General features: G+C 45.8%; 3 annotated features.

Moving 5' to 3' along the window:
* Positions 7,334-7,628: an enhancer, noted in NCBI's record as "tiled region #9855; HepG2 Activating DNase matched - State 1:Tss". NCBI's record gives its function as "activates a minimal TATA promoter and a strong SV40 promoter by Sharpr-MPRA in HepG2 cells {active_cell/tissue: HepG2}" and the evidence as "EXISTENCE:reporter gene assay evidence [ECO:0000049][PMID:27701403]".
* Positions 9,610-10,110: an enhancer, noted in NCBI's record as "H3K4me1 hESC enhancer chr4:4258767-4259267 (GRCh37/hg19 assembly coordinates)". NCBI's record gives its function as "activates a minimal SCP1, AML or CMV promoter by ChIP-STARR-seq in primed H9 embryonic stem cells {active_cell/tissue: H9 hESC(primed)}" and the evidence as "EXISTENCE:reporter gene assay evidence [ECO:0000049][PMID:30033119]".
* Positions 18,547-18,656: an enhancer, noted in NCBI's record as "active region_21227". NCBI's record gives its function as "activates an Ori minimal core promoter by ATAC-STARR-seq in GM12878 lymphoblastoid cells {active_cell/tissue: GM12878}" and the evidence as "EXISTENCE:reporter gene assay evidence [ECO:0000049][PMID:35858748]".

The following is an 18,719-nucleotide window of genomic DNA, read 5'->3' as shown; positions in this document are numbered from 1 at the left end:
GTAGCCAGAAGTATGGTGCTATAGAGGAGGCTTCTCTGTAACAGGTTCACCCATCCACACTGGCCCCATCTACCTTCAGCCAAAGAGACGAGTTTGTCAGTGGCTGGATTCAGGAGCATGGCCTGTGACTGGAAGCGAGAGGCACAGGGAAATAGCTCATTGGAGACTGAATCTCTTGTGCAGCTGTGTGGCTGCTCCAGTGCTCTGATTGGACTGAATGCTTTCAGAAACAGTGTTTGAAGTCCTGGTTGATTGTGCTGTAGGACAGCCTTTTTGCCACCTCTTGGATGGTTCAGTAGGTTTTGCCCACAAGACCCTTAAAAGCTGGTCCTCTGGTACAGATCACCCCTTAGCCAGTTTCATTAATATCTCATCAATTCCCCACAAAAGCAAGTCTGGGACATGGAACAAGTAGTTTAAAGGGTTAGGACGGAGAGGAGGGATGAGAGGGAGGACAGAGGCCCTGTCTGAGCCTCTGAGTGCCCAGAAGCCCACGGAGCAGCTTCACTCTGGGACTTGCCAGCCAAGCCAAGCAGCATCTTGAGTTCAGTGCTTATTAGGCGATGTGCCACATATAAGTGTAGTGACGGCATTGAGTGGCACTGTCAGAATGAGTAGGACTCAGGCTTCAGAATCAGGCCCAGAGTCAGGTCCTGACTCTGTCCCTTATTGGCTAACCTCTGAACCTCACTTTTCTCAGCTGGACAATGGGGATAGTAAAGGTTGTGAGTGAATGAACTAATTCACGTAAAGGACACAGCATGTTCCCTTATTAGACACAATAGATCCCCTCAGTGGGTGCTGTCACTACTCTTACCGTTACCAGTAACAATTTTTGGGCCATGAGAAGCTTTAGACATTCTGGAAAGCAAAAGAAAACTGAGAAAGTGAAACAACCCAGACCACATACCTAATTAGGGACAAAAGCAGAACAGAGCTGTGACTCCGCAGTCCAGTCCCGAAGTCTTCCTATGCCAGCACTCCAGGGAGCAGAGGGAGGTGTGCTCTGCAGTTATCACCCGGGCACAGGGGAGATGCAGGGCCACCCCGTGAGAGTCACATGATGTTCTACAAGCGCCATGGAATTTCAGTTTGTGATTGTATTAGTTTGTTTTCACTCTGCTGATAAAGATATACCTGAGATGGGGTAATTTATAAAGAAGAAGAAGTTTAATGGACTCACAGTTCCACGTGGCTGGGGAGGCCTCACAATCATGGCGGAAGGCAAAAGGCATGTCTTCCATGGCGGCAGACGAGAGACGAGAGAGAATTTGTGCAGGAAAACTCTTTATGAAACCATCAGGTCTCGTGAGACCTATTCACTATTACAAGAACAGCACAGGAAAGACCCGTACCCATGATTCAATTACCTCCCACCGGGTACCTCCCACAACACATGGGAATTGTGGGAGCTACAATTTAAGATGAGATTTGGGTGGGGACACAGCCAAGCCATATCAGGGATCTTTATTTTTCCGTCAAAACTATCAGTTACCGTGATACATTTAAGGCAAAGTTTGGCAAATGTGACACAGTTAAAAGGTGTCCTTAGCACTGCAGCAGAGTCTTCATTTCTGTCCTTGCCATCCATTACCCCAGGTTCTCGAGAGTTAGAACTTCTGGGGCTGGCTGTGCTGCTCAGGAATTTCAGCAGAGCATCCATCCCACAGGGGCTGGAGGTGGCTTTAGCTCCCTCAACTCTACAAGGACAAAAAAGCAAAGCTAATGATGGTGACTCTGATGGTCCGTGTCATGGAAGGGTCTGCAGTCAGTGGCAGGAAGGACTAGCTGTAAGTGCAGTTGCTCCAGGGGTCTGGCTGCAAAGCATGGTCCAGGGGTCATTCCCAATGTCCTTGCAGAGACCACCCGTTTCAGTTTGGGCAGCTAGCTGCCTGCCTGACTTGGACTCAAAACACACATGATATTGAAGTTCCTAGAGACTTTAGAAAGTGATCTGATGATATTCCTGTAAGGCTTTTCAGCTTCATTTTGTCTAAGTTGGGTATATGGTTGAATTCTACCATGTTCTGCCTGTCCTCAGCCTGGTCTGATGAGCCTGACACTTGGGTATCTCCAACCCTGACAGCCATGCATTTTGACATACTGTGGTTGTCTTACCTTGATGTTCTATTTTCTGGGGATTCCTGGTGTTTGTCAACTGTGTGTACCGGCCATTTCCTGTGATGATGCTGAACAAGCAGGATTTGGGAGAAGATGGACTCTGTCAACCTCCCAAAACTTAAAATGTGGGACTGTTGCATGCCCTTAATTTGGGACACAGTAGGTGCTTAGCACTCCAGCAAGGAAACAGGCTCAGAACGAGTGGGAAGCCAGGAAGTGAACCAAGGTTTCCCTTCTTTTTGCACCTGGACGAGGCAGCTAGACCCAGACTGATGCAGAAGAAGTCAAAAGAACGCAAATGAGGCTGGGTGCGGTGGCTCACACCTGTAATCCCAGCACTCTGGGAGATTGAGGAGGTTGGATCACTTGAAGTCAGGAGTTTGCGACCAGCCTGGCCAACATGGTGAAACCCCATCTCTATTAAAAATACAAACATTAGCCATGCATGGAGGTGCATGCCTGTAATCCCAGCTACTCGGGAGGCTGAGGCAAGAGAATCACTTGAGCCCAGGAGGCGGAGGTTGCAGTGAGCGAGATTGCACCACTGCACTTCAGCCTGGGTGACAGAGTGAGACTCTGTCAAAAAAAAAAAAAAAAAGAAAGAAAAAAAATGGGTTGATGGCAGAGAAGCATTTATACGAAGGCTTAAAAATTGTAAAATCACTCAAGTTTTCCCTTGGTGAAGTAAGATGACCCCTCTGCTCTGAGGAACTAAGGCTTTTCCAGAATCCCATTTCTAGTTCTCTGTTTAAAACCCCCTCAGGGTGGTTAGGAGAAAAATGAAAAAATAAAAGTCAAGATTAATCAACAGCATTTTTTACAGTTCTGTAGGTTTTTGTGAATATCTGTGAAAAGCTCTCACATTATCCTTCTAAGCATCTAAATTTTCTTTGAAAGTTAAAACTTGGGCTGGGTGTGGTGGCTCACGCCTGTAATCCCAACACTTTGGGAGGCTGAGGTGGGCGGATCACCGGAGGTCGGGAGTTCGAGAACCAGCCTGACCAACATGGGGAAACCCCATCTCTACTAAAAATACAAAATTAGCTGGGCTTGGTGGTGCATGCCTGTAATCCCAGCTACTCGGGAGGCTGAGGTAGAAGTATCTCTTGAACCCGGGAGGCAGAGGTTGTGCTGAGCCAAGATCGCACCACTGCACTCCAGCCTGGGCAACCAGAGCGAAACTCTGTCTCGAAAGAAAGAAAGAAAGAAAGAAAGTTAAAACTTGAGCTGACCAGGTCCTCTTAAACAATATACTTTGGTAATCTCACTACCCTTGAATTGCCTCTCTTGTCCAAAAAGAGATTTCTAGGAATAAAACATTGTTTTAAAAAGGCAGTCTTTGGTATAGATTGCTGTCTTTTAGATAGCACTTTTGCAGTCGAATAAAGAAAGTTTTAAGAGATCAAGTAGTTTTATCCAATTCATCTCCATTAGTGAAAGCTATTGAGAGTATATCATAGTTCTTTACTCCACCATTGAAAACTGATCCTCCTAGCGGGTGTTATTCTTTTTTTGGCTCAATGACGAACCGGGACTCCAGCATAAAGCAGATAATTGTATGTTGTTGAATTTGCCTGGATTTAGAACCAGGACACCATAGCGCTCAAGCTTGTAACTCCTTCCCTTGTTGAAGAAAATTGGAGATCAATTATTATCATCATCCAAGATAAGAGAAAGGCATATCCTATATATTTACCTGTTCTTTGTGGTTGATCTCAGAATATATTCAGCCTTTATCCCTTCTCCAAATTAAGCTTTCAAGAAATGGCTAAAATAGGCCTTCTAAATTTCTTTTTCACTCAGGGAGCGTATTATGTTTCTCATTTACTAAGTACAGAAAGTGTTACCTTATAGTGATTCCTGAATTACATGTGGGCGGGAGGTTGTTTGTGTAGTTAATCCTTGTTCTCATTCCAGTAAACTGGATTTTAGCAAAAGAGTTGGAAGGTAGGAGAAAGCTCGCCCTTTTCAATTTCTTTCTTTCTTTTTGTTTGTTTGTTTGTTTTTGAGACAGAGTCTCGCTCTGTCACCCAGGCTGGAGTGCAGTGGCGCGATCTCAGCTCACTGCAAGCTCTGCCTCCCGGGTTCACGCCGTTCTCCTGCCTCAGCCTCCCGAGTAGCTGAGACTACAGGTGCTCGGCACCATGCCCGGCTAATTTTTTTGTATTTTTAGTAGAGACGGGGTTTCACTGTGTTAGCCAGGATGGTCTCGATCTCCTGACCTCGTGATCCACCTGCCTCGGCCTTCCAAAGTGCCGGGATTACAGGCATGAGCCACCGCGCCCGCCCGGCCTTTTCCATTTTGTAAGAGGAAGTACTGGTCATAAGCATGTGGTGGGATTTCACATGGTAGGCTGGCAGTGGCTCACACCTATTACTATAATCTCAACACTTTGGAAGGCTGAGGCGGGTGGATCGCTTGAGCCCAGGAGTTCAAGACTAGCCTGGGCAATGTAGCAAGACGCCGACTCTACAAAAATATACAAAAATCTGCCTGGTGTGGTGGCTCACGCCTGTAGTCCTCCCAGCTACTTGGGAGGATCACTTGAGCCTGGGAGGCAGAGGCTGCAGTGACCCAAGATCATGCCACTGCACTCCAGCCTGGGCAGCAGAGTGAGACTCTGTCTCAAAAAAATAAAATAAATAAATAAATAAATAATAAATAAAATAAAGAATAGTGTTGGGAAATTGTCTTACGTGTCTTGAGTTTTGCTTCCCTCACAAACTTGTTGAGATCTCAGTCCTCTAGTGCCCTTTGTGCCTGCAATTCTGTACCAAGCCCTTGTATCATCGAACCCATTCTAAGTCACAAGGACTAATAAAATCATTCCAGATTGCCCACCCGGGCTGAGATCTAGGCTGGGTACTCGGGCACTGAGGTCTTCAGGAAGGAAGAGACAATACTGAGGCCAACACAAGGAGTGTTATGAGGTGTGCTGGTTAGAACGTGGGCCTGAGAAGGACTGCTTAATTTTGCCTGGGTGGGGATGGAGGGCACAAGGTTATTAAAGGCCCCCGGATTGATTCTTGGAATTTAAATTGTTATCTATTAACTGCTTGATGTTTTAAGACACTTTCCATATTCCTGCCACTCTATTTTCACCCAGGCTGTATGAGGTGACATGTTCTAAACAGGGTCCATGTGCCAGAATGAGACTCAAGGTTGAATCTGAGCTTTGTATCTCACTCGCCAAAGGTCCCTGCGTGGGCAGGTTACTTAGCATCTCTAAACCTCAGGGGTTTTTCTCTTACACCAACTTTCTATGGTAGATAGAGTGAAATTGATATACTGTACACAAAGTAGCACATAGTAGGTGTCTGAAAATATCTCCTCTTAAAGTACAGGAAGTACACAGACCGAGCAGTGTCTACCATTGGTTGTCCGAGGCACTGGCCCAACAGACAGGATCTGACGCCTTACTTTTTCATGCACAAAGCTCTCTAAGTGACTGGACTGCAGCAAAGAAGAATCAGCGAGGCCAAACCATACAGCATTTAAATGAAGAAATCCACTTCAATTTTTGAAGTAGCACTCTAGTTTACAGTTACTGTGTAACTATTTTTCTGAACAAAGACACAATCCTACGACTGCCAAACCTATATGAGTTAATATTTTAATGCAGGTTTCTATTGAAGTATACATATGTAAAATGTAAATGTACTGCTTCATGAGTTTCACAGAGTGCCCACACCTAAATCAAGAAACAGACTATTCGGCCCACCTTACTTCTGTCTGCATGGGTTGGTTTTGCCTGGTTTTGAACTTGATGTAAATGAAACCACACAGCATGTATCTGTTTGTGTCTTGCTTCTTTCACCCAACATTCCATGAGATTCATCTCTTGATGAAATGTTGGATTTTACAGACTGGTGTGGTGGCCCATGCCTGTAATCCCAGTGCTATGGGAGGCAGAGGCGGGAGAATCACTTGAGCCCGGGAGTTCAAAAGCAATCTGGGCAACATAGCGAGACCCCATCTCTACAAAAAATAAAAAATAAAAAAATTAGCCAGGTGTGGTGGCACATGCCTATAAGCACCTGTAGTCCCAGCAACTCCAGAGGCTGAGGCGGGAGGATTGTTTCAGCCCAGGAGTTGGAGGTTGCAGTGAGCATTAATCATGTCACTGCATTCCAGCCTAAATGAGAGAGTGAGACCCTGTCTCAAAAAATAAAAATAAAGGCAGGGCTCGGTGGCTCACGCCTGTAATCCCAGCACTCTGGGAGGCCGAGGCGGGTGGATCACTTGAGGTCAGGAATTCAAGACCAGCCTGGCCAACATAATGAAACCCCATCTCTACTAAAATTACAAAAATTAGCTGGGTGTGGTGGCACGCACCTGTAATCCCAGCTACTTGGGAGGCTGAGGCTGGAGAATCGCTTGAATCAGGGAGGCAGAGGTTGCAGTGAGCAGAGATTACGCCACTGTACTCCAGCCTGGGCAACAGAGCAAGACTCTGTCTCAATCAATCAATCAATCAATCAATAAAATGTTCAGCTGTTTCAGGGTGGCTAGGTTTCTCATGAAATCGATGACATCTTCTCCTCATCTCCTAGTGTGTACATACACTTTCTCATTGCTACTGAGTATATGCCCACAGGTGGCAGTACTAAGTCATAGGGTATATTTCAGCTTTAACAGATGTAGCCAGTTTTGAGAGGGCTTTTTAGCAGTTTATACTGCCACCCTCAGTATTTGAGGGTATATGCATTTATTTTGCCAAAAAATGCACCGAAATTTAGTATTACTCCCATTTCCATCTCTGTGTTTATCTTTTCAAAATAGCTCTCTTATTGGATGCTGTCAACCAAAGTCACCGGGTACCACTGGATGATAAAACTGTGGAAAATGGTGACTCCATTTTCCCAGCGGATTTCAGTCTTGGATGATGTTAAAAATAAAACGGAACAGTAATTTCTTCCAGCTTAAAGAATAGCATCTGCCTTCCCCTGTCCTTTTCATATTTAAGAAACTTGAGATCTTGCTCTCGGCTCACTTATCATTAGATTTAACAGCTTCTGTAATTTGGGGTTGGACCCTGCTTCTCACTGTCTGTCTCGATTACAACACAGACGATTTCTGAGAAAAAGAAAAATGGTATGTACTGGTGAAAAGAGAAGTTTCTTTGTTTTCTTTTGAGTGCAAATGCTACTTTCATTTCTTGTTGCTGTTATGGGATCTAGGGAAGCTTTAATTTATTCCCTCTGATACAAGTGATTAAACTGCCCCTTGGGTAGTTTAAATTGTAATTGCTGAGTAAATACATATGTTTGTCAGAGTTTAAAGGTCACACATCGCTCAGGAGGTCAGGCCTTTGTTTGGCCACAGAGCGGGTATTGTGAGCTGTTGAAATACCACCTTTGCTGCCCTCCTCCCTTCCCGGTGACCTCAGGCCGACTTCTGTCCATTGTAGATCAAAGGTAGGGAAAGATTCGGTTCCACTGAGCAGTTGCTAACAGCATGGCTTTGGGGATTTGGCAGCAAATTTGAATCAGGATACTATAGTAGTAATGTCATAGGATAGCCCCGCTCAGACTGATTTTATACTGAACAGGGAGGTATTATACAGCTGAACTTGAAACGGTAGTCTCTCTTGCAGGTTTCAGAAAAAAGTTAAGGTCATAGAATTTCTCAGTTTTAGTGTCCCTGCGTAACACCTCTTAAGCCTTTTGGCATCTGTGGCCATGAGATTCTAATTTAGATGCTAGGAGAGCTGGCATAAACATTTATAGCACTTGGCTATTTTTTGCTTAATTTATCCAGATTTCATGATGTTCTACAAAAGTGTGCCTGGCACTCTACTGTGTGAATGAGTTTGAGAGTTGTGGGTCTATAGGGATAGGCAGTAACTTCAAGACAATTGTAATGATGGCAGCTACTGTATCTTTTTTTTTTTTTTTTTTTTTTTTTTTTTTGAGACAGAGTCTCACTGTCACCCAGGCTGGAGTACAGTGGCATGATATCAGCTCACTGCAACCTCTGCCTCCCAGGTTCAAGTGATTCTTGTAACTCAGACTCCCGAGTAGCTGGGACTACAAGGGCACATCACCACGCCCGGCTAATTTTTGTATGTTTTGTAGAGACGGGGTTTTGCCATGTTGGCCAGGCTGGTCTTGAACTCCTGACCTCAGGTGATCTGCCCGCGTCGGCCTCCCAAATTGCTGGGATTACAGGCGTGAGCCACCGCGCCCGGCCTAGCTACTGTATCTTGGGGGCTCTTTGTGCCAGGTGCTGTGTCGGTTCCTGAATGTCAGGTCTGCTTCTTGCCGCATCACAGCACCCAGGCTGGGATTCTAATATGGTTGTCCTTTCCCTCACAGCTGGGCATTCTGCTCACGGTTGCCAGTCTTGAAAGGCTGACAGTTTCTCTCCTTTGTCTATTCTTTTCTTTCTTTCTTTCTTTCTTTCTTTCTTTTTTTTTTGAGAAAGAGTTTTGCTCTTGTTGCCGAGGCTGGAGTGCAATGGCGCGGTCTCGGCTAGCCACAACCCCTGCCTCCCGGGTTCAAGCAGTTCTTCTGCCTCAGGCTCCTGAGTAGCTGGGATTACCGGCATGCACCACCATGCCCGGCTAATTTTGTATTTTTAGTAGAGATGGGGTTCTCCATGTTGTTCAGGCTGGTCTCGAACTCCTGACCTCAGGTGATCCACCTGCCTTGGCCTCCCAAAGTGCTGGGATTACAGGCGTGAGCCACTGCTCCTGGCAACACTTTGATTTTTCTAAGGTTGGCAGAGGGATTTCCTCATACGCTGTGTTCAAACATGTGTTTGCACATTGACGTTTGTGATTTTCTTTTTTTTAATTATTTTTATACGTTCTGGGGTACATGTGCAGGATGTGTACGTTTGTTGCATAGGTAAACATGTGCCATGTGGTTTGCTGCACAGATCATCCCATCACCTAAGTATGAAGCCCAGCATGCATTAGCTCCTTTCCCTAATGTTCTCCCCAACCCCACCGCTGCCCTCCAGTAGGCCCCAGTGTGTGTTGTTCCCCTCTCTGTGTCCGTGTGTTCTCATTGTTCGGCTTCCACTTGTAAGTGAGAACATGTGGTGTTTGGTTTTCTGTTTCTGCATTAGTTTGCTGAGGATAATGGCTTTCAGCTTCATCCATGTCCCTGCAGAGGATATTCTCTTGTTCCTTTTGATGGCTGCATAGTATTCCATGGTGTATATGTACCACATTTTCTTTTTCCAGTCTATCATTGATGGGCATTTGGGTTGGTTCCAAGTCTTTGCTATTTTGAATAATGCTGCAATGAACATATGTGTGCATGTATCTTTATAATACAATGATTTATATTCCTGAGTATATACCCAGTAATGGGATTGCTGGGTCAAATGGTATGATTTTCCTTTTTACATTAAAAAAAATTTCTTTCGTTCCTTTCTCTTTTGTGAGAAATCACACCCGGATGTCATTTTCACTACTTCTTGATGAGGAGGTGTGGAGTCTCTCAAGGGGATGACATGCAGATTCTTACTGGCATAAAAGTGACCCTCAGTTGGCGAATACCTTATTGAATTTCTGTACTATTATTGGGCATGTCCTAAGCCCTCAAGCAAGGGATGGCAAATAGATTCTATCTGACACTACAACTAACTCTAGTCAACTGGCAGTGATTTTCCGGTGCTCTTCAGGATTTTGAGGCTTCCACCTGGCTGTCAAAGGGAAATAAATGCTGCATTTGATCAGCAACATCTGCCACGGGTCTGGGTGGAAAGGGGCACCCAGGTTGCCACATCTTCCCTCCTGGCTTCTCATCTATGGAGATGGCCAGCACCATGGAGCCAGCATTCAGCAAGAATGGCCCCAGGGAAGGGAAAAGGAAATGGCTGCGCTGCCATCAAGAGTGGGCCGAGGTAAATATCCGGTGCAGCATGACGCAGTGGGATTGGAGTGCAGGTGCACAATCCCGTGCAGCATATAATCAGTTATGTAACCATGTTATGGGTGGGCTCATCCCCTGGCTCTGAGCCGCTATTGTCTGTGAAGCGCACAAATGTATCACGAACACTGTGAGAAGGCATGCATAATGGAGTTGGCTGCCTTGCAGGTGGGGGTGGGTGGGTGGAGCCAGGAAATGGTGAGCACACTGGGGAGTGCAGCTGCAGACTGTGGAGCTGGCACTGAGTGGGGCTGCTGAGCAGGCAGCCAAGACAAAGGCTGACACAGAGAATAAAGCCATATCCCACCTGTATAAGATCCCTCGAGTGTTCTTTCAGCTACCCGCCACCGGTCCACCTACTCCCCTCGGACCCCAGCTTGGGTTGGAAGCTGACACTGACTTTCTTTCTTTTCTGTGAGGTGGAGTCTAGCTCTGTTGCCCAGGCTGGAGTGCAGTGGTACGATCTCGGCTCACTGCAACCTCCGCTTCCCAGGTTCAAGCGATTCTCCTGCCTCAGCCTCCAGAGTAGCTGGGACTACAGGTGTGCACCAGCACACCTGGCTAATTTTTGTATTTTTAGTAGAGATGGGGTTTCACCATGTTGGCCAGGCTGGTCTCAAACTCCTGACCTCAGGTGATCTGCCCACCTCGGCCTCCCAAAGTGCCATGATAACAGGTGTGAGCCACCACACCCGGCTTCTGACACTGACAAATAGCTTATGTCCTGAGGTGCTTTGAGTCATGAGACGCAGTTTAGCCTGGCAGCCGAAAGCTTGGGTTAGTATCCTAGCTCCCCCACTTTCCTAGCTTTGAGCCTACGGAGCAAAGACCTGAGGGATGGCTGACTTTTGAACTCCGACAAAGTAGGTATTTTCTCAGTAATTGTAATTAAACTACCAAACGGAGAGTTTAATCATTCATAGCAAAGGAATACTTGAAAGAAGCTCCTTTGAATCTCATAACAAAAAAGGCTGGTGCCTCCATTTTCTCATGTATGAAATAGGAATTATAACAGTAACTGCCTCATCCAGCTGCTGTGAGGATGGCGTAGTTAACACGTGAGGGGCATGGTAAATGATGGCCAGTTTGCACCACAGTCATCCTTTCTTCCACTGCTTCCTGCCCTCTTTCTCCTGGCATGGCCACCAGCCTCACCCCTTCAAGGCCGCGTTGCAATGACCTGCTGCTGCTCCCCTGGGAGTGACCATGAGGCCTTCGTGGGCAGCCTTTCCCCACTGCCTGGATTCCACTTTAATATGAATTGTTCCCTTTCATGGGTACTTCCTATATGCCAGGCATAGTAATAAGCCCTTTACATGTATCATTAAGCTTTTCAAAATCTCTAGGAGGGAGGCGTTATTGCTCCCCCTTCATAGATGAGCAGGTGCCGAGAGCTTACGTGACTTGTCCCAGGCCACATGGTAAGTAGCAGAATCAGGACTGATTTGAACTCAGGTGCTGTATGGTAAATGCATCTGATAGCAATAACTTAAGCAGACCCTGGGAATGACCTTTATGGCAGATGCACCTGAATGTGTGTTCCAGATTAGGGAATCCGGGACTGGCCAACCAGAGATTCTTTCCTTGTCATCTGAGCCCCTGTCCTGTCCTGTCCTGTGAAACACGAGCTGTACAGGGGATATTGAAGCCCTGAGTTTTGGGTTGCATGAAGGTTGCTAGGGATAGCGTGGAGGTTGTTAGGGGTGGGTGTCAAAAGAAGATGCTATATAAGCTGCATGCCTTTCGAAAGCAGGTGCAGTTATCCAGGCCAGCCCTGCACCAGCAGACTCTCTCTTGTATGTAACACTCCATGTCTCGTTTGCTCTGGCTCTGGGTCTCTTCTTTAGCTTGTTGAACCTGGCGGTATCTACATTGGAGTCAATAGGGTTTTGGCACAACAGGTGTCTCCTTGATTTCTTTGTATTCTCCTGGCCAGCATTTTCCATTGGTCAGGACCCCCTTCTTGTTTCCCCCTTCCCTTTCTCAGTACTGATTAGATCACTATTAAAAAGATCTTGCAAGTAGGGTTTTAATTAAAAACAACAGGGTTTTCTAAGCGGGTTCCGTGATGGGCCATGTGATCAGAAAGCCTTTATCATGGTTTTATGGATGGTAATATCAGGCACGGCCATCATTCAAATATATAGGGTTTTTTTTGAAAGAGAAAAAAATGAGTCTGCTTTATTTGATCATCTGCAAAGCAGTAACAGACCAAGTTCCAGGCACCGAACAATCAGCCAGTGACAAGACTGACAAGGCTGCAGGGTTCGCCTGGGAAGGGCAGTCGGCCAGGACCCGCCTCCATTGTCCTCTAGGTTTGCCAGCCTGGTAGTGGCCCTCAACCTGAATGGCAGCAATTTAATAAAAGAAATTGTCCTCCCACAGAACTGGAACCCAAATGTTGCCGCACAGCCAGAAATTTCAGGAGTGCTTGGGGACACTTACATAGTCAAGGGTCCTGCCCACCTGGCCTCTCAATCAAGGCCAGCTCCCTCCTACCTCTCCCCTCTTCTTTCTGGTTATAGGAACTGTCCTTTTCCCTGTTCCTGATATTTTGGTTGAGACCAGCATCTCTATTCTCTGTTCTTCTCCCCAACATCCTATTTCAGAAAACAACACACTGTCTGTCCTTAGAGGCTCACTCGCGGCCCTTTTCTGCCAGTGCAGCAGACAGCTGTTGTGCTCACGTTGACTTCGCTTCTGTGAGAAACCCCTCCATCTCGCTGCTTAAATAGAATGCATCCAGAGAAAACCCCAGGCAAAGCGGCGCAGGTGCTGAGAGTCAGAAGTAGGGCTGGCAGGCACTGAAGTGGTGAGTTCCACAGGGATGACGGCGGGCACACCATATGTGACAGACGCACAGTGTCCTCAAAGCTGCATCATGAGCTTCCTGGGCTTCACGCTCACTCAGGCTTGATGGAAATCCTATTTTTCTTTCAATCTTATGAAACAGTTCAGAGGAATTCTAATAGGTTTCTTTCTAAAAAACTGTACGTGTATTTTATGATGATAATGATTATTACTGTCATTATTATTATAGATAGAGACAAGGTCTTATTATATTGCCCAGGCTGGTGTCCAACTCCTGGGCTCAAGCGATCCTCCCGCCTCAGCCTCCTGAAGTGTTGGTATTACAGGTGTGAGCCACTGTGCACAGCCCATTATTACTGTTGTCATTACTGTTACTATTTTGCTTAGGCTGTGTATTAGAGTTCTCTAGAGGGACAGAACTAACAGGACATATATATATATATATATATATATATATATACACACACACATATATACAAATAAAGGAGAGTTTATTATTAATTCAGACGATCACAACGTTACACAATAGGCCATCTGCAGGCTGAGGAGCAAGGAGAGCCAGTCCGAGTCCCAAAACTAAAGAATTGGAGTCCGATGTTCAAGGGCAGGAAGCATCCTGCACAGGGGAAAGATGTAGGCTGGGATGCTAAGCCAGTCTAGCCTTTTCACATTTGTCTGCCTGCTTTATATTCTAGCTGTGCTGGCAGCTGATTAGATGGTGCCCACCCAGATTGAGGGTGGGTCTGCCTTTCCCAGCCCACTGGCTCAAATGTTAATCTCCTTTGGCCACACCCTCGCAGACACACCCAGGATCAATGCTTTGCATCCTTCAATCCCATCAAGTTGACACTCGGTATTAACCATCACAGGCTGGTTAAAGTTGGTTTCTGTCGTGGGTAGAACCTCTCACAGTACAGCTAGTTTGAGTAATGAATGGGTGAGGAATAACTAGGCTCACTTGAAGATGATTCAAGTGATTTTTACCACATAGTATGTCCCCTAAGTGAAAGACACTAACATCGACTGAACACTTTCCATGAAACATGCTTTTCCATTTAGACCCTACAGGGCAAGCCCATTCCAACTCTCTTCATCACATGGTATGAGAAGTAAGAAACAAAACATAGGTATGAACGTATATTGAATATGATCAAACTTAAAAGGTAAACAAATTGGAAAAAAAGTAGACTTGCCACATATTTGAGGTTCAAAGACAGACAGCCTTGATCTATCAAAATATGCAAAAATGAAAATTCCAAAAGGAAAAAGACATATGCATAGTCGATTAACATAAAAAAATCTGTTAGCAAAGAAAAGCAAATTAAAATGGCAGTTCGCCCCGGCCAACAACTATCACTTGGGAAAAATTTATCAAAATGATAAAGCCCGCTGTTGGTGCAAACATTGAAGATGGCCTCTCCTGCCCTCTGCTGGTGGGAATTTAAACTACAGTAGTATGGTAAGTCCTTTCTGGACCTTCTTTGAAAATATCAATCAAAAGTCTTTAAAATGGCCAGGCGCCGTGGTTCACTCCTGTAATCCCAGCACTTTGGGAGGCCGAGGCGGGCGGATCACAAGGTCAGGAGATCGAGATCATCCTGGCTAACATAGTGAAACCCCGTCTCTACTAAAAATGTAAAAAATTAGCCTGGTGTGGTGGCGGGCGCCTGTAGTCCCAGCTACTCAGGAGGCTGAGGCAGGAGAATGGCGTGAACTCGGGAGGCGGAGCTTGCAGTGAGCAGAGATCGCGCCACTGCACTCCAGCCTGGGCAACAGAGCGAGACTCCGTCTCACAAAAAAAAAAAAAAAAAAAAAAAATCCCGTCTCTACTAAAAATACAAAAATTAGCCGAAATTAGCCGGGCATGGTGGCATGCGCCTGTAGTCCCAGCTACTCGGCAGGCTGAGGTAGGAGAATTGCTTGAACCCAGGAGACAGAGGTTGCAGTGAGCTGAGATCATGCCACTGCACTCCAGCCTGGTGACAGAGCAAGACTCCATCTAAAAAAAAAAAAAAAAAAGTCTTTAAAACGTTTGTATCTTTTGATCTAGGGATTCCAATGCTATAGCTTTTACCAGGGGAATAATCACAGCTGTGTAGAAATAGGCACACATTTTATTGTGTTTTTATACAATCAATGGAAGAACTTTTTAAAACTAGCTTTCTTCTTGGAATGAAGAACAGTATCCTAAATGATAGATATTAACATTCACTGAGCACTTTCCATATGCCAGGTACTTTTCTAAGAGCTTTACCTGTATTCTCATTCCTGGAGGCGCTCACAGAATACCTGGGGACCAATGGGGCAGCTACACAGCACAGTGAGAGAACAGGGTGGTACTGGTCTGGCCTCAGAGTTTCAAGTAACAGAAAACAACTGAAATTAAAATTAATTTAAAAAAGGGAAAATTTAACCATCTGTAAAGTCTCAGCAATGGATAATAACAGCTAAGATTTACTGAGAGTTTTCTATGGGCTGCTCTAAAGACTTCGCATGTATTAATACTTTTAATCTTTACCCAATCCTGTGAGGTGGGTATTATTCTTAACCCCATTTTGCAAGTGAGGAAACTAAGGCAAAGAGTGGATAAGATGCTTTCTCAAGGTTCAAAGAGTCAGTAATGACAGGACCGGCAATGACAGCCAGGCAGGCAGCTAGCTCCAGAGCTCAGTTCCTTAACAGGATTAACTAAGGCTTGGCTAGATCTGGGAGGCGGCGCAATGCTACCAAGACCTCTTAGCTTGCCTCTCAGTGCTTCCTTCCCACGTGGGCTCCCATTTCCAGAACAGCAGCCCCAAGCCCAAACTGACCTCAGAGCTCACCATATCAAAGCAACCGTGAACATCTTCCCAGCCTAAGACGTGGAGGATGAGAGGTCTGTTTTGGGTCTTGTGCCCTCCCCTAGGACGGGGTCAGTCTCTGGGATCTGAGCAGGACCACTATAGAAAGCAGCAGTGGTTTCTCAGAGGTAGGCAGACACATGTATATCCATATTGAAGACAAGTTAGCTGTGCTCAAGGACCAAAGTAAGCACAGCTAATGGAGTTCCTGCCGTGTGCTCGGTGTTTGCAAGGTACTGGGGGATACCAAGACATGGTTGTTTCTCCCAATCAACTGGGGGAAACACAGGGCAAAAGGAAAATAACAATAAAGCTTGGTAATTCTTGGAAGAGAGACATGAATAGAGTCACTGGAACCCAGGGACAAGGGAACACTGATCAAGGGGCGAACAGGTGCCGGATCTTGAAGGCCTGGCAAGCCAAATTACTAAGAATAGTAACTACTGCTGTTTGGAGGCAAACTATGTATGCCAGGCACTAAGCTAAACAATCTGTATACATGTATCTTCACTCCAATACCCGATGTTTCACAGATGAGCAAACTGATACTTAGAACAATAAAATAACTTGCCCAAAGACCCACAGTGATGGAGGCAGGATTTGACAGTCTATACACACCTTGGATTTAACTATGTTGCTAAGGGGGGGCCAGTAAAGGTCACAATGAAATTCATTTGTTCCCCACAAGTAATCCACATTGAAAATGAAAATTTCTTAATTGGTAGCAAATCTGGTATCACATATCTATCTATAATTAGGGTGCCACAGTACACACATTGAAGGGTTTCTTTTCTTTTCTTTCTTTTTTTTTTGAGACAGAGTTTCACTCTTGCTGCCCAGGCTGGAGTGCAATGGGTGGTCTTGGCTTACTGCAACCTCCACTTCCTGGGTTCAAGCCATTCTCCTGCCTCAGCCTCCCAGGCAGCTGGGATTATAGGCGCTTGCTACCATGCCCAGCTAATTTTTTTTTTTTTTTTTGTATTTTTAGTAGAGACGGGGTTTCACCATGTTGGCCAGGCTGGTCTCAAACTCTTGAGCTGAGGTGCCACCTGCCTCAGCCTCCCAAAGTGCTGGGATTACAGGCATGAGCCACTGCACCTGCCCAAAGGGCTTCTTTAATGGACCTCAGAAATGAAGATGTGGTCATTAAATACTGGAATTTTTCCAACCTCCTTTTAAGTATCATCAATATGCTGTGCAAGTAGTGCCATTTAAAATTGCAGAGAAAAAAACTCTGGAAGGATTTCAGATCCAAATTCAAAGGCCCCGAAACCACAAAAGGAGAAACCTGATCTGACCTGAACATACCATGTATGGGAACCTGGGATAGCGGCGATGCTCTTGGGAGTATTCAGTTACCACGGAGGCCCTGCACTGACCCTTTTTCGAGGAGACAATCAACAGAAGATTGTATTTGATGGGACAAATTCACTTCCTGTTAACAAGGCTTCTAACCCCGTACGAGAGAGAAGAGAGGGCAAAGACTTCAGTTGACTTTGAATAAATGAATCCAGTTCTTTAGGAGTCTTGAAAGAAAAAAAAAACAGAAAAAAAAAAACAGGATAAAGGAGGTATTGTTTAGAAAGGCCATATGATCCACCCAGCTGTTAAATCCTGTGCTCCGAAGGGGGAAGAAAGGCTGAAGAAATGATAAATCAGTAGGGATTTGGTATTTCTCTCTTTTTTTTAATTTTTTTTATTTTTATTTTTGAGAGGGAATCTCACTCTGTTGCCCAAGCTGGAGTGCAGTGGCAGGATCACTGCAGCCTCCTTCTCCCAGGTTCAAGTGATTGTCCTGCCTCAGCCTCCAGAGTAGCTGGGATTACAGGTGCCGGCCACCATTCCCGGCTAACTTTTGTATTTTTAGTAGAGACGGGGTTTCGCCATGTTGGCCAGGCTGGTCTCAAACGCCTGACCTTGTGATCCGCCCGCCTCGGCCTCGCAAAGTGTTGGGATTACAGGCGTGAGCCACCGCGCGCGGCTGGCACTCTTTTCTTGAGTATTTCTTATTACATTCCTTTTACAAACACCCCAACACATCGAAGATATTAAACAGTGCCTACTAATTCAAATTTTACTTCCTATGTAGCTGGCTCTCCACCCCTGTATTCAACTCACCTGAAACCACTCTCCCTGCTCTCCCACACTGCAGCAGAATAAACTGCCCTTTATATGTACAGTGTTTCTATTATGCCCCATGTACAGTGTTTTTATTATGGCACTGTATTGAAGCTGCTTCCTCTACTAGATTCTTCTGTCCTCACCATTTTATCACATGCAGCTGCTCAGAAAATGTTGGCTGCATTGATGAAATGCTTTCATACATTTACAAATAGAGTTTTCTTGTAATATACCTCTGTGGTTTTCTTTGGACAAGGAGCTCCTCACGTGCAAGGCCATGTCTTACTCATCTTTATCTCCACTGCTAGCATGGTGCCTAACAGCTCCTACCAAATAGTAGATGCTCAGTAAACGTTTGCGTGGCTAAGCCCACCATTTCTCAGCACATGACACGCTGGGAAACGGCTGGGAGAGTAATACGCGGGATTATTGACGAAGAAAAAGTTGTGAACTCGTAACACACAGTTTGTGGGCGTGAGCAGTGTGGAAAACCGCAGTTTGCTGGGAAAGCAATTTAGTTCCCTCGGTTCAGGCTGGGAGGATTTTTCACAAGTGGCGAGGAGGAGGCTCACATGAACCACATACAGGTACTTCTCACTGAAACGCACAACAAATCTAGAGCCAAGTGTAATAACGAAACGGGCCCCAAGAAGTTTATTTAATGCCCAGGGCCCCCAAGTGGTCACTGCCAGGCTCTAGCATCCTGTCCAGCAGGCCTTTCTCCTCCTTTCAAGTCTTGCTGGACGACTCCTGAAAAGCAAAAGTAGGAAAAAAACTGGGGGCTGAGAGTGGAAGGCTGGACAGAGGGTATGTCTCCTGCTCTGGCACCCGGAAGCCTGCGAGGGCTTCGGAAGCGCAGCGTCTCACGGTCGCGCATCCCGGCCCTGGACGCATCCAGCGGCAGCGGTAATCCTGGTCCTCCTGGGCTTCCGTAGGTCGGAA

The sequence above is a fragment of the Homo sapiens genome, chromosome 4 (genome assembly GCF_000001405.40).
Source record: "Homo sapiens chromosome 4, GRCh38.p14 Primary Assembly".
Lineage (NCBI taxonomy): Eukaryota > Metazoa > Chordata > Mammalia > Primates > Hominidae > Homo > Homo sapiens.
Note: the sequence above shows the minus strand (reverse complement) of the source record. Positions and strands in the feature narration are given on the sequence as shown.